The following is a 14821-nucleotide window of genomic DNA, read 5'->3' on the forward strand; positions in this document are numbered from 1 at the left end:
CTGACAGTGGAGGACCCCAGGCCACCCCCGCCCGTGGAAATCCATGAGACCGTTCATCGTTTCAAGAAGGACATTGCAATGTTTACCCTATTAACTTGGAGATAGGCATTTATTGGGCTAAATCCTCACGTAGAATGAGCTTTCCCAACACAGGAGCTGCGTCCTATGCATACTCAGTCCCATGTGCCTGGCGCAGTGTGTGGCCTGAGACTGACACCAGCATGTGTTCACAGCCGTTTCCTCAAGCTGACTGAATTCTCGCCTTCGCTTTCTTTGGAAATGGTTTTATAGGGTTTGCTCCATCTGTTCTACATAAGACAGAAGTGAGACACCGGGTTCAGGGACCAGGGGCACTCATGCCTGGCTCCGCTGTGCCCACGGGGCCTCCACCAGAGAAGTGTGAGACTCCGGGTTCAGGAACGAGGGGCACTCACGCATGGCTCTGCTATGCCCACGGGGCCTCCGCCAGGGACGTGGAGCGGAGGCGTTTCCTTCTTGGTGGCCACTCAACGTGCATTTGGCAAGTGGGATGTTTGGGTTCTACATCCTGGAAAAATATGTCTTCATGATTCCCTGGAGAATTTTATGACTCACATAAATTGCAAAGTCTGTCTCCACACCCAGCTCTCAGCTGCATGTACATTACAAGGGTACAAGGATTTTTTTTCCCCATTTTATTACTTCAAAATACCTGAAGGATAACAAACTATACAATTTTCTAACTGACACCTTGCATCTTACCCAAACACACACAGCATTATCTATGGGAGAAAATCCACTCAATTAAAAAAAAAACCTATATATGTATATAAATCTTACCAAAATTATTTAAATTGTCCATCTAGGATTAATAAAATATAAGGAGCTTTTGTAATTCTTGTAAATCAATAATACATCCCACCTATGACAAGATAGCAGTGAATAGGGAGGTATAATTTTTAAAAGCAGCTCCATCTAAAAGCCCCCGGATTTTTGTGCACTCATAAAGAAATAATGCTTGTCTTTCTCCAGTGTGAAGAGAGGAGAGAGATTTTGGAAAGAGAGGAGAAAGGGTCTCAGTGTGGCAACGCAGGTCCCGTGAGTTCCACGCAGCCTCGGCCAGAGTCACAGATCTGAGCCCCTGCGTCCTCCTCAGGAAAGCTCTGCTCGGGATGGCGGCTCAGCGGGAAGCCAGGCTGCTTCTGAGGTCTCACGGGGGATGAACCTATGGGAGGTGGGCTCCCCCACATGTGGGTGAGGAGGGAGATGACAGGGACATGGAGGGACAGACAACGTGGCCAGCACCCTCTGTGTGACCAGAGATGCCTGTAGCACCGAGATAAGGCCTGAACAGAAGGAAGGGACTGAGCCACCAGGTTTGACCCATGACCTGACTGCATTAGCCAAAAATAAAAAATCTGCCCCCATTGTTGAGTACACTGTGGGAAATCAAGGGTTCTAGGAGGAGAAAATAAGTCTGTAGAAAAAGCCTTTGTTTGAAATTCCCTCACTCATTAGTTCTCTGCTATACTTAGCAAATTACATCACCTTTGGTGCCTCGATTTCACCACCTGAAAAATGGGGGAAAACTAACAGACCTCCTGCCCACTTCCCAGGGCTGAGGGAGGGTGCAAGGCGTGGAAAACAGGCGCACATCAAGAGTTGGGTTGTTATTTCACAGCCAGTCCTCTGCAGGCAGGAGGAGAGCCACGCCACCAGTCCTCAGGGGCTCAGACCTGGGAGGCCTTACAGACACCCAAACTGGATCTCATCGCCTTCTCCAACCTGCTGCTCCGCACACTAGACACAGAGAAAACGGAGCTTTCTTTGGGTCTTTTGCTTCATGATTTAGCAACGACCTCAACGCAGAAGGTGATTCTTGGCTGTGATCGGATGAGCACAATTTTTTTCTGGAGAACCGGCGTTTTCTTTATGAGACACCCCCATAAAATCACCAGGCAGCAGAGATAGTTACTGCTCTGCCCCAGAGGCTACAAGGAAGCCCCCACAGGCCATTTGCTGGTGCACACTCCCTGGAGCCATGCGTGAGGAGCCAGCGGTGAGTGCTCCGCTCCAGGCTCCCGATTTGGTGCTCTCAGACCACGGGACACAGTCTCCAGCCGGTGCCCACGATTTTAGAGACTGTTCCCATTCGCACTGAGTAATCCTCTGTTTCTCGGAAAGAAAGCACTCTGGGAAATGTGCAAAGGCTGACTTTGTTACAGAAGCAGAAAAATGAGGATCCCAGAAACTGAAAAGAGCTATACACTGTCTTCATCTGCCCAGGAATGACAAATGACAAACACTCAGTGAGAAAGGAATAACCAGAAGGAGGGATGTCTGCAGATGACAAGAGCCAGACTTCTTGTCTTTTGTGGATTCTTGCAAATAATTACCACTTACACATCAAATGATATGCTGTCCCAATCTTCTTTACAAAATCATACGTTTTTCTTCTTTTCTGCCTCAATAAATGCTAATGTTCCATGAAGCCAATGTTATTCTCACCCGCTCCACAGTGCGTCTAAACACAGATGGGCCTGCAGTGGCTTAGCCGCATCACCCGCTTTCCAGGAGGCATGATGCTTACCCTACCCTTTTCTAGCATTTCTGCAAGGACTAAAGTGATTCTTGTCTGCTGGACAGAGAAACAGTAAGAAATACAAATGCAAATAGACTGCCATCATGGTGACTTATGTAACACCAGCTTTCAGAGACGCCACAGAGACAGATTCACAGGAGGTAATAAGCAGGGCCTGGAAGATTGTTTTATCAATCTTCTTTCAAATCTACTAGTGATTTCTTGTAAACAGTAATTGCATTGCTCTTAATTGCTTCATTAGTGCCTGGGCTTCATTATTCACCTTGTCTCACTTCTATTCAGACCAGTTTAGATTGTTTTTCTTTCTGTTTTTTTATGAGGAACAATGGAATTCTGTCTGGATTGCAGAGACATGAGAGGCAACGTGGCCGCACAGGCGGTTTAGCCTGTCCCGGGCCATATCCTGCTGGAGCTTTGGCCCAGAGCTCCTGAACACACCCGGCCTGGCTCTCTCTTTCACCCTTTCTGCCTGTTGCCACGAGTCTCTTCCTGACCCTTTTCCTCACCAGGGGACTCGTCGAGGGGTCCAAGCAGCAACGGCTCGGCAACTCCGGGAGCTGGGCATTGGAGGAGGCCACGCTGACACGCTCAGGAGCTCATCCCTGAGCGCCCACAGGCCCCTGGATGTCCCTGTAAGGAGGCTTCCTGCCCAGGCCTGAGGGTCCCTCTGTGACCTCTCAGCTGGTGCTGTGTCTTCAGCACCCTCCTTGGCTCAAAGAGACTGTCATCTGGCAGCCGAAACCCTGTGATCCCCGTGTGGCTGTGTCCTGCCAACTGATGGTGACAGCAGGAAATGCACCTGCCCTGCCCCCTCGCCCGGATACTTTCTATTCTGCTATGAAAAACAGAGTAAAATTTGAGAGGAAAGGGAAAGTACCCCCGTAGCCACAAGGAAATGAAGTGGAATCACGCTGACATTTTCAATAACACCTGGATCTGGTTTTATAAAGTTGACCTAACAAGAAAATGGTCCTATTGTTATCAATAAACATAACCCTGAAATCTAAGCGCTTTAAAAATCCATGCAACAGGGCAGGTGTGGTGGCTTATGCCTGTAGTCACAGCACTTTGGGAGGCCAAGGCGAGAGGATCGTTTGAGTTCAGGGGCTCGAGACCAGCCTAGGCAATATAGTGAGACCCTGTGTCTACAAAACAAAAACTAATTAAATTCATGCAACAAATTCTAATATTTTTCAAAGGCTGTTCTGTGAAATAAAAACTCACCTAAAAATCATCTATGTATCTAAGAACATGTAGGGAACAAAGACGATAAAACAGCACAGAGACCCGGGAGCCTGGGGCTGCCTGGCCCTGCACAGACTTCGCCTCTGTGCCGTGGAAGTGGACAGGTGGGGCCTCTCCTGGCCCAAAGCCATTGAAGCTGGCTCTCCTCCTCCATCAGGACAGCCTCAGCCCTCCCAACCGCCCAGCACAGCAGCTCAGAGGAGGCTGGCCGAGCGCAGCCGCCGCCACGTCCTATCCCACCAAAGATCCATGCTCAGCATCGTGGCCACCTAAGTCTCACGAGTGTGGCTGTGAGGTTCGTTTGAGTACACTTGGCCCAACATCCAGATCAGGTTCCCAGGCAACAAGACAGCAGGTTGCCTCTAGACCCTCAACAAGTCCGCCCAGTTAGGCCTGCAGGGCAGTCCCCAGGGGAGCCACGAGCTTGTTTCCTGCACGGAGCTGTCGCCTCATGGAGGCGCTCTCAGCCCCGGTGCTCCTTTGCCTCAGTACACATGGCCTGCAGGAGAGAGGCAGGATGGGGAGAGGCCAGAGCCTCAGGGAGCCAGGGCCTCGCCTGCTCACAGGAGTCATTTTGCTTCTAGATTTTTCTTCCACGACTGTGATGTCGCTATACTGAGCCCCTTCAAGTAATCTCTTAAAGACGTATTGCCTGACAGAATCTGCTGGGTTTTGTGGTTGTTGTTCAGAATATGAAGGATGCCTGCCTCTGATGCGTCAGATGAAATTAGACCAAGAATCCACCCATCCCGTGAATTTATGACACAAACTCCCCCACATCACTACTGCCTTCTTGAGGGAGGAGGCCGTTCCCTCAGCAATGGTGAATAAAGGTGTATTGCAGTAACACCCAAGCTCAAGAACAGACATCTTGTCTTACACCCAAGCTTCACACGGGACCTTCACCAGAACTCACCTTCTTGGAAGCTGCACAGAACCGTAACGTGAGGAATCACATGCCTAGATATCCTATGTGAGCTATCCCAAATGCCTTCTACACTTCAAAAACTATGTGAGAAGTCTACTCCACGAAACTCATATCAGTGAAAGTACTCACAAGTTGGAGTGATCACAGCACCTCCTGCGCTCCTCCAGGGCAAGCCTCGCTCACCTTTTTATTCTTTTCCATGAACCATAATGCCTGGCCTACAGATTATCAATAAATATTCTTGGCTGAATAAATGAATGGGAAAACTGCTGCTGACTTGAATGATTTTTTTCCTAAATAAGATGACTTTTTATCATATATGTTCAGACTGGCAAGAGGCATGAAACGTTTATCAGTTTAGTTGCCACAAAATTTCTTTCTTTTTCAAAATAACAACAGATGTTGGCAAGGATGCAGAGAAAGGGAACGCTTATACACTGTTGGTGGGAATGTAAATCAGCACAACCTCTACAAAAGACATATGAAAACTTTTCAGAAAACTAAAAACAGAACTACCATTTGATCCATAATCCCACTACTAGGTATCTACCCTAAGAAAAAGAAATTATTATATAAAAAAGACACCTTCACTTATCTGTTTATCACAGTACAATTCACAATAGCATAGCCATGGAATCAACATAAGTGTCCAACATCGAAGAATTCAATCAAGAAAATGTGATACAGATACATCATGGAATACTATTCAGCCATAAAAAAGAATGAAATCATGCCTTTAGCAGCAACGTGGTTGGAACCGGAGGCCATTATCCTAAGTGAAGTAACTCAGAAATGCCGCATGTTCTCACTTATAAGTGGGACTAAAGAATGAGCACACGTGAACATAGAGGGGGAAGAGTAAACACTGGGCTACAAAAGGTGGGAGCGTGGGAGTGGGGGCGAGGATGAAAAATCACATGTTGGGTTCTGTGGTCACTGTTCTGGTAATGGCTATGCTAGAAGTCCAGAATTCATGACTACACAATATATCCACATAACGAAACTGCATTTATACTCCCTAAATCTATTAAAAGACGAAGAAGACGAAGAAGACAAAGATGAAGATGAAGAAGAAGGAAAAGAAGAAAAAGGAGAAGGAGGAGGAGGAAGAGGAGGAGGAAGAAGAAGAGGAAGAAGAGGAAGAAGAAGAGGAAGAAGAAGAGGAAGAGGAAGAGGAAGAAGAAGAAGAGGAAGAAGAAGAGGAAGAAGAAGAAGAATAAGAAGGGTTTTGTGATTGTGGTTCAGAATATGGCTCTTTTATTTGAGCCATAAATCCCTAACCTAGAGAAGACCTTGCAAATAACCCCTCTGGAGGCCAAGAAGGATGTCGAAAGCCTGTCTCTAACAAAAGTTACACAACATCATAGAGTATTCAAATGACATTCATCTGCAGCTAGACTAAAAAACTCCATGTTGGGTTTTCAGCATCATCTATCAGAAACATCAAGTAAACAAGTAATTTTCTCCAGTATTTTCTCATTCTTCCCACAAATACTGCAAATGTACCTAAATATCAAGATTATAGTTCTGCAAAATACTCCTAAAATCTGTTTGGAACTCTATTCCTTCATTTATTAAGATGCAAAGATATACTGGTTTTCTATTATCCAGATACAGTAAGCATCAGGAAACAGTAATAATTTCCTCCATCTGATATTCCGTTATCAAAAACAACTTTTAAAGAGGTTGGTTACTTTCATTACATTCTATGATAGATTCACATCTAGATTTCCACCAAAAATGTAGAGAACACGACAACTTGAGACTAGGAGCTCTTAAAAAATAAACACTGTTGATGAATTAAAGGATTTTCTGTTAGTTGTATACATGCACTTTGGGGCATAACATGTGCTATGGTCTAAATGTTTGTATTTCTCCAAAACTCATATGTTAAAATCCTAGCAATAAAGGTGATGGTGTTAGGAGGTGAGAACTGTGGGAGGTGATTAGGTCTTGAGGGTGGACTTCTCATGAATGGGATTAGTGTCCTTATCAAACAGACCCCAGAGAGCTCCCTTGCCCCTTCCACCACGTGAGGACAAGGGTAAAGACGGCTGGCCATGAACCAGAAAGTGTGCCTTCACCAGCCATCAAACCTGCCATGCCTTAATTGTGGACTTCCCAGCCTCCAGAACTGCGAGCAATATCTTTCTGTTGTGTAGAAGCCTCCCAGTGTGGCATTCTGCTATGGCAGCCTGAATGCAGCAGGACATGGTGTTATGGAATCTTGTTGCTTCAACTGAACCTAGCAGAATGAAGAGTCTGCTCCACCCATCCTGGCTCAGGGCCTTGTCGTCAGCCTCCTGAAGCCAACTACTAAGTCATCACATAAGTCTGTCTGCAGTAAACACACTGAAAGTTCCCTGGAAATCACAGTTCCTACAAAAGCCTAGGCAAGTATTCTGAAAAATGACAGCCAGTCATTTCTCTGAGACCTTTGGCCTTATGAATTTGCTGGGAAGGTACATCTTCCTTTCCTACCCCTACCACTTTGCAAGTATCAGATTGAGCATCATATTTTCAGGAGAGTCACTGCCTCATGCCTGCCTACCTTTTGATCATCATGGAACTGGCAAAAGCAGCGCTATCTACTTTTCCAGGGGATGCAAAGGTACAAGGCCAGGCCAAGCATAGTGTTCAAGAACGCAGCTGGATCGCTGCGCAGCTAGAAGAGAGCTGGACTCTAGACTCCCAGATTAGTGAAAATGCACAGAACCGAAAGGCAGCTGGATAAACGTAAGGCAGCTGAATGCCATTTTTCTTTATTTAACCAGTGGGCTATGTCATCGGATCATAAGATCCAGCGACACTTGGCTTAAATGTTGCATTGGTGTGCATAGGTTTAGATGGTAGTGAAACGTAGCGTTCAGCATCTGAGCAGACCATTTTCTAAAACCAGTAATGTTCATCGATCCAGCCCTTCCAGTCTGCAATATCTGCCAGCTATTTTAAAAGTCAACAGAGTTGCAAATTTTCTAACTGTTCTGGCTCCAGGTGGCATGTGGCTGAGCGACTCAGTCTTCTTAATGGCCAAGTCAATGGCCCACGGCTCCGGCTGCCTCTGAGAGCGTTTGCTTTACCAGTGGTGGAAGTGTGGCTGCGTAACTACAATGCCTTGACTACAGCCTCAACTCAGCCTTCCAATTTACCTCTTTGCTGGCCAGTGTCTCCCTGATGGATACACTTATCGTTACCAAAATCTCCCCTGAGAACACCAGTGTTGCCGAGATACTCTCACTTTATTAAAGTCTAAGTCTGTTTTCTGCTGCCTGGATCAGGCCCATGCTCCTGCACAGCATGAAAATGAAGAAATGCACAGCCTGCAGCAGCAAGAGCTCTTTCTTCTCTTCCGTTTGATGACCACCTCGGGCTGATACCCTGTCTCTCTTTCCTTCTTTCCCAGTCAACCCCTACAGGCCCTGGGACTCCTCTCCGTCCACTGGAAAGGCAACTCCCCACGGATGGAATCCGCTCTTCTCCCCAGCTCTGCTGAGCACCTCATCAGACATTTTAAGCAGCTGTGTCACATGACTTCCAGTACAGGGAGCCCCACACCAGGCTTCCATGCCAGCTGGTTACTCCCAGGCCTCCTTGACTGGTACTAATGCACCATGACCCTCACAAGTGCCCATGCCAGGAGACCATGAACTTTACCTCGATGGACAGCCTTCCGTCCTATGCTCCAGCTATTCTTTTTGAGGGAGATTACCGAATATAATAAGCACATGATATGTACATATGCATATATACACGTTTGTGCATGTGTATGTATAGAGACACATATGTCACTAAAATAACTGCTCACAGATATTTAATTTCAAACTTCCATTTCCCCCTTCACCACCTTCTGGGCCCAATCTCCCCAAACAAAGCAGAGTGTAATAAAACGTGTATAGTTACTTCTTCTGCAGTGTCTTCTGTGGTGGGCTCCACATCCAGGTTGAGATCCTCCTCTGTGGTCTGATAACAAAGATAGATGTTAAAGATGGTTAGCATTGCCATGTGTTTGTAGGTGGCCTCATACAGGTTACCAATATGAAAAAGTACTAACTAAATATCCCGCATGATTTCTGTAGGACATGGAAACCATATCACCGTCCCTTCCCACCTGAATTTATGTTTAACTGTGTGATGCTTCATGTCCGAGATGGATCCTTTATACAACAGGTGGTAAGTAAGGCAAGGAGTGTTCACACTAAACCCTAACTCAAACGACTAAATCAATGAAGCGAGTGTGACTTACGGTACAATCTAAAGGACGACAAGGTGATTCTTGCCAGTGGAGAAAGCGTGGATTTTCATGAAGCTAAAATACGAACGGAGCTGATGTGGAAGCACAGAGCAGCGGTGAAGGCATGTGTGACCACTCCCATGAGAACGGAACCAAATCACAGTCCCAAGTGAGTGCTGGGAGAATGGATTCTAGCAGAGAAATGAGGCCCAGCCCATAAAACGTAAAGCAAGTGTTTCTGTGGTTGGCACAAGGTTTAAGTGGAACCATCTGGGTCTGAGTCTTTGGTTTCTACTTAACAACTTGGAGCCACCTGCTTAACCTGGGCCTCGGAGACATGGCAGTGCTTCTGCCTAGAGATGTGGGGAGAGCTCCACGGAAGAACACCAGCCAGCCATCAGCACCGGCTGCCATGCAGCAGACACGGGAGAGCTCCACGGAAGAACACCAGCCAGCCATCAGCACCGGCTGCCATGCAGCAGACACGGGAGAGCTCCACGGAAGAACACCAGCCAGCCATCAGCACCAGCTGCCATGCAGCAGACACGCAAAGTGAACTGCTGTCATTATTACTATTTCTAGTTTCATCTTCTCACCTAGTAGCCAGGAGATAATCATCTCTATCCAAGCTTGACTATGAATCTTCAGGGAATCATGTTTGATCTGCATTGTTTAAAAACGGAGCTTTCTCTTTCTCTATCTAATGTATTATGACATCCCAGAGAGAAAAATCATGCTTATTCCTCCAAGAGAACACAAATAAAATGGGTCAGCCAGACCTTGTGGGCTGGCTTATGGACTTGCCTTACTCATCATTTCTCCCATTTTCTTATCTTGCCCCCAAAGCACGCCCTTGGCTGCTGTAACCCCGCTGAAAGCAATGATTGAAAAGTCCTGTGTTTGAGATGTGCCTTCAACTTGCCAGAACATAATTCATGAAATACTACATGTTTCTTTTTCATGCTAGATTCTGCCGGGGTTTTCTGGAGGTTCTGGCTCTTAATGAGCACGTTGCCTTGTCAACACACCCATTTATGGGTTAATTATATATCTGAAATATCTCAGAACAACACAGAGAACCACAAAGACTTTCCCTGGACAGTCAGATGAATCTCCCCTGGTCTACAATTTTTATAAACTGTATTTAGTGTTCTCTAGTACAATGGACCTCAGACCCAGTTCAGTTCGGTTCTCTCAGACTACAGATGAGAAAACAGGCCAGAAAGGATAGCAGCTTGAAAAGGTGGTTAGAGCAAAACATGAATCCAGGAATGCTGATTCTAGTCCCTGGAAATCCAATCATCAGTCCTGTCACATTTGCATAACAGCAAGGAACTAAAGCAATAAAATCTAAACTAAATCACTAAAAAATAAGCACTAAAATCTCTTAGCAGATTTTCCGATGAGAAAAGCATGCAGGCTCCTCCTGCAAGGGTTTTAGGGCATTTAACTTGGAGTTCAGAGGCCAGATATGCTCCATATAGCTCTGCCACATTTCTTGATATGTGAGTTATTTTAATACCATGCAACATAAAACATGGACAAAACTAGAGAGGAAATTCAGACTGTGAATTCCAAAACACAGAGGATTTTGTGGATTTGGAAATTTCCTCAGAAACTTGAAGTACCTCATGGTTAATATTTAAGCTTTCATTTTTCTATAGAAAGAACTCTGGTTTTCTGGGTTCCAAGTAAATAGGAATTTAACACTGTCCATACTCCACCAGCTGTGCTCTCCTGAAAAAATTCAGCTAAGAAGCCTGAAAAAAATTTATTTTGCTTCAAGAGCTATTTAATGTATCCAATTTTCCTCAAAACCTTTACCATCTGCCCTCTCCTGGGGCTGGCAAGGCAGGGCAGACCATCAGTCAACTCGGCTCCAAATTCTTGCCACTTGCAAGTGCTTTCTAGGCTCATGGCATGGTTTTCAAATCATGGGAATCTATTCATTGCTGATCCATTTATGAGCGATTTGAGAAATATGTGAAACACAAGCTGCTCCTCATGGCTTTGGTCACTGGAAATAATGTAAAGACCAGGGTCCCACCTGGAATTGTAAAGCCCCTGGCCCCCTCTCTCCCATCCTTTCTGAGCCCAGGGCGGAATCCTCCCTCTGGACAAGCCCTTCATTCGTGAGGGCTGAGCACCTTACAGCTTCAGCACAAGCCAATGTGCTGACGATGACCAGCTGGGCTATAGGAAGCACTAGTAAATGAGAAAAGAACTTCTAGCTGATCACTTGCTCGTTCACTAATTCAATATTTAGAAAAATTGAATCTCTCTCTCTCTCAAAAAAAGTAGACTTGAAATGGCAACCGCAGTAAGGGAATGGATCTTTCCAAGGCACCATCCTCAACACCAAGAACAACCCCATGTACAAACAGAAGAATCAGTAACAGTAGGGAGCCCTGGTGTCATCCTTCTCCCACCCCAGGTACTTTCCATGAGCAGCAGTATCTGGGCTGTTCCATCTAAAACAAATGGACTTCAATGTCCGTGCTATGCCCAACAGTCTCTGCTAAACATCAATACATATGTCGAGCATTATTTAGCTTGGCTTTCCAAGAAAACTATTCAATATGAAGCATTCAGTAAATTCTCTTCTAAAACAGAATCTCTCATTCAGTTCAAAGGTATGTTATGTGACTATCTCAAGACGTACATATAAGAATAAATAAAATTTAAAATAGCATTGAATTTATAAGTACAGTGCTGGGAGTAGGAGATAGGCAAAAATTAAATTGGACTTTGAGGAGGTTTGGTGAGTGATTACAAATGAGCCATGTTTAAATGCCATTTGAGTTGCTATAAACACAGAACAGGTATATCTAATAATTTAGTAGACGTTAATAAATTTGGGGAACTTTCTCTTCTAGGAAAATGTATGTTGACCATCTCCAATTCAAATGGAGCAAATCAGATTCCGTGGAGCAGAGGTTTGCGTGTCCCCAGGGAAGCATGGAGTGAAAAACTCTCAGCAGTGATTCCTGCACACCCACCAGCCCTGGGACGGGCAAGGAACACTTTGATTTCATTATCTTTTCTGTTTATCTTTAATCACACCTCTTTATCTGACCATTCATCCTTTTAAGGTTGCATTATCTTTTTTCGTTTAAGATCACATTATCTTTATGCTCTCTGTTCCTTGATTCATCATTGATTTTTGCCTTCTGGTTTCATCTTTCACTGTAGCAAATGGAAGGCTTCTAATTTAAAGCCACTTGTTGAAGGAAAATCAAACTGATGCAGATTAGTTTGGAAACGGGAATACTTTAAGACTTACATAGACTTTAAGAAGCATCCTGAAGTTTCCTTAAGGGCAACAATTTGTTTCTTGTACTCATTATCATTTATGTATTTACACCACACACAATGCCGTGCGTGTATACACACGCAATGTTTATCCATGTGCATACACAACGCAACATATACATCCACACACACTGGATAGCCAACTCTCTGACCCATCATAGTCACCTAATGGACATGAACTGATTATAGTAAATGAGCAATGCATTGGCTGCAGAGTTCGGATTCTTGAGGATGCTGTGAAAAGTGCGTTCTCTCCTGCACTCACCTCTATTTCCATAGGCTCCACCTCGATCTTTTTCCATAGTTCCAGCAACTGTGCGATTGGCATTTTTAAACTTTCCTTTTCTGCTGGTCGAGTATTGATAGTAGGAAAGGAAATAAACAGAGGCTCGGACCGGCACAGGGGGACGGCCAGACGGGATGTCGGAAGCCAAGGGACGCAGAGGCCGGCGGGTGGCGGCGATGGAGAGGACAGATCCGGCTCCCAGAGGAGGTCGTGAGCGCGGGGCCTGCGCCGGCCGGAGGAGGGACCCGGGGGGCTGCAATATGGCTGCTCGGGCGCCGTCCCCTCCCTGCCAAGCCAGGGCTCTGGGGAGCTGCTGCCGCTTCCCGCTCGGGCTGGGGCGAGGAAAGGAGGGGACGGCGCTGCGGCTTCGGAATCTGTACTGCGACTTTGGCAGAGTAAACGCTGCACTTGCAGCTTCGAATTGAATTTCCTGCCTCTCCCCCCTCCCTTCCCTGGCCACGCTCTTCCCTCCTCCCCTCACTATTTTACCTTAATTGGCTCTAAACGAGGGTGAAAGTTGAGTCTGAGGATGCCGCTGCCATAGAAACTGCATAGCAACCAAGGGCTGGGGAGGCGGGGGGGGGGGGCGGCAGGTCTTTCCCCCCCACCCCCAGCACGCGCACACCCTTCCCCACCTCCCCAGCCCGCCGCGCCTCCCCGGAGACCCACACCGCCACCTCCCGCCGCAGAACGGGAGGGACAGGAACACGGACGGAGGGACCGGGACGAGGGGAGGGCTCCACGCAGCACAGCTGCTTTCCTGCGGAGCGTTCAGGAGACTCGGGCACCTCTGGAAGCGCTGCGGACTGAGCTGCCCGCGGCTGCCCCCGCCCCGAGGGCCGGGACAGCACCTCAGGAGAAGAGGGACGAAGAGGGACGACAGACAAATAGCTGGGGAGAGGCGGGGGGGGGCGGCCCGTGGGGTCCGCTGGGCCCTACCCAGCCCTGCCCGGAGCTGCCCGAAACAGCACTCAGGCCTCTGCGGGCCAGGATGAAAGGCACGTGGGCCGCTGGGGCTCCCAGTGGCAGGGCCCGAGGGACAGAAACATTAATTCAAACAACGTGTATCCTGCCCCTCAGCTCCTTCAGGTCTCCACCCCGTCCTATTTCACAGGTGACAAAGTCCTGAGGCTCAGAGAAGGAACCCCCGAAGACACAGCCAGGCGCCTGCGGGAGAGCAAGGCCTCCTGGGCCACCGCTCCTTGGAAAGGAACCAGGGGAAAATTCCCCTCCCTGTTTCCCTTTTTTGGGTTGTGGAGTGGGGGGATCTCTCTTGCCTCCCTCCTTACTCCCTTCTGTCCTGGATAATGAAAGGTGCGTGCGGGTGAAAGACATATTCATTTCTCCAATCGTCCAAGTGCTAATCCTGAAGCATTATGGTTCCCTCTTTTAGGAAAGGGTGTTAAAGTTAACACAATTTAATGCTGCTTTGGGAGTAAGTGTATTCATTTCTATAGCAAATTCCTTTATCTTTGAGAGAAATATCTTTTTAAAAATAGCTTAATGTTCTCCAAAATTATCAATCCCTTTTTCTTTTTCGACTTTATGCAATCACTAAGAAATTCAATTCACTGGAAAAAAAGAAAAACCCAAATCCCAGATACTTTGTATCTCATAGCAAAGTAGAGTCCAAAGTTAACAGAGGGGTTCTGTACTTGGTGTTGATTTATGACAGTCACTTTATCTTTCTACAAAATTAGGCCAGAAGGACCTTTAAAATCAATTGCATTCAGAATTTTAAAAATAGCAATATTGTTCGTTTTCAAATTGGAGATTCTGTGATTGACAGAGCAGAGTGAAGGTTTTCTTGTGTTAACAATCATAAGGTGATTTTGTACATGCTGTAAAAGGTCACAGATTAAAAACAGACAAAGCCAGGGTGGTGGCTCATGCCTGTAATCCCAGCACTTTGGGAGGCCAAGGCGGGCGGATCACCTGAGGCGGGAGTTCGAGACCAGCCTGGCCAACACGGTGAAACCCCGTCTCTACTAAAAATACAAACTTAGCCGGGCGTGGTATCGCATGCCTGTAACCCCAGCTACTAGGGACGCTGAGGCAGGGGAATTGCTTTAACCCAGGGGGCGGAAGTTGCAGTGAGCGGAGATCACGCCACTGCACTCCAGCCTGGGCAACAGCGCGAGACTCTGTCTCAAAAAAAAAAAAATGGTTTTTGGTTTTTCTGTAAAAAAGCTAGGAGAGTCACTCATAAAAGACAGTGAAGAGATGTCAAGAATCTTT

At 46.6% G+C, this 14821-nt stretch overlaps 1 protein-coding gene across 4 annotated transcripts in view, besides 3 other annotated features; it reads right to left on the reverse strand.

Moving 5' to 3' along the window:
• Nucleotides 1-13228, reverse strand: part of RPS6KA2 (ribosomal protein S6 kinase A2) — a 453410-nt gene extending 440182 nt beyond the window's left edge. For 2 of the 4 annotated variants that reach the window (NM_001006932.3, NM_001318936.2), the window contains exons 1-2: nucleotides 12563-12980; nucleotides 8655-8714 (exon numbers count right to left, since the gene is read on the reverse strand). In NM_001006932.3, the coding sequence (NP_001006933.3) occupies nucleotides 8655-8714; nucleotides 12563-12625 (123 nt within the window). In that variant the 5' untranslated portion in view covers nucleotides 12626-12980. Of the gene's footprint in view, nucleotides 1-8654; nucleotides 8715-12562; nucleotides 12981-13072 lie in introns of those variants that run through there. The other 2 variants (XM_047419235.1, NM_001318937.2) reach the window with 2 other exon arrangements.
• Nucleotides 476-525: an enhancer, noted in NCBI's record as "active region_25439". NCBI's record gives its function as "activates an Ori minimal core promoter by ATAC-STARR-seq in GM12878 lymphoblastoid cells {active_cell/tissue: GM12878}" and the evidence as "EXISTENCE:reporter gene assay evidence [ECO:0000049][PMID:35858748]".
• Nucleotides 3578-4556: an enhancer, noted in NCBI's record as "H3K4me1 hESC enhancer chr6:167266611-167267589 (GRCh37/hg19 assembly coordinates)". NCBI's record gives its function as "activates a minimal SCP1, AML or CMV promoter by ChIP-STARR-seq in naive H9 embryonic stem cells {active_cell/tissue: H9 hESC(naive)}" and the evidence as "EXISTENCE:reporter gene assay evidence [ECO:0000049][PMID:30033119]".
• Nucleotides 13288-13597: a silencer, noted in NCBI's record as "silent region_17782". NCBI's record gives its function as "represses an Ori minimal core promoter by ATAC-STARR-seq in GM12878 lymphoblastoid cells {active_cell/tissue: GM12878}" and the evidence as "EXISTENCE:reporter gene assay evidence [ECO:0000049][PMID:35858748]".

The sequence above is a fragment of the Homo sapiens genome, chromosome 6 (genome assembly GCF_000001405.40).
Source record: "Homo sapiens chromosome 6, GRCh38.p14 Primary Assembly".
NCBI classification, from domain to species: Eukaryota; Metazoa; Chordata; class Mammalia; order Primates; family Hominidae; genus Homo; species Homo sapiens.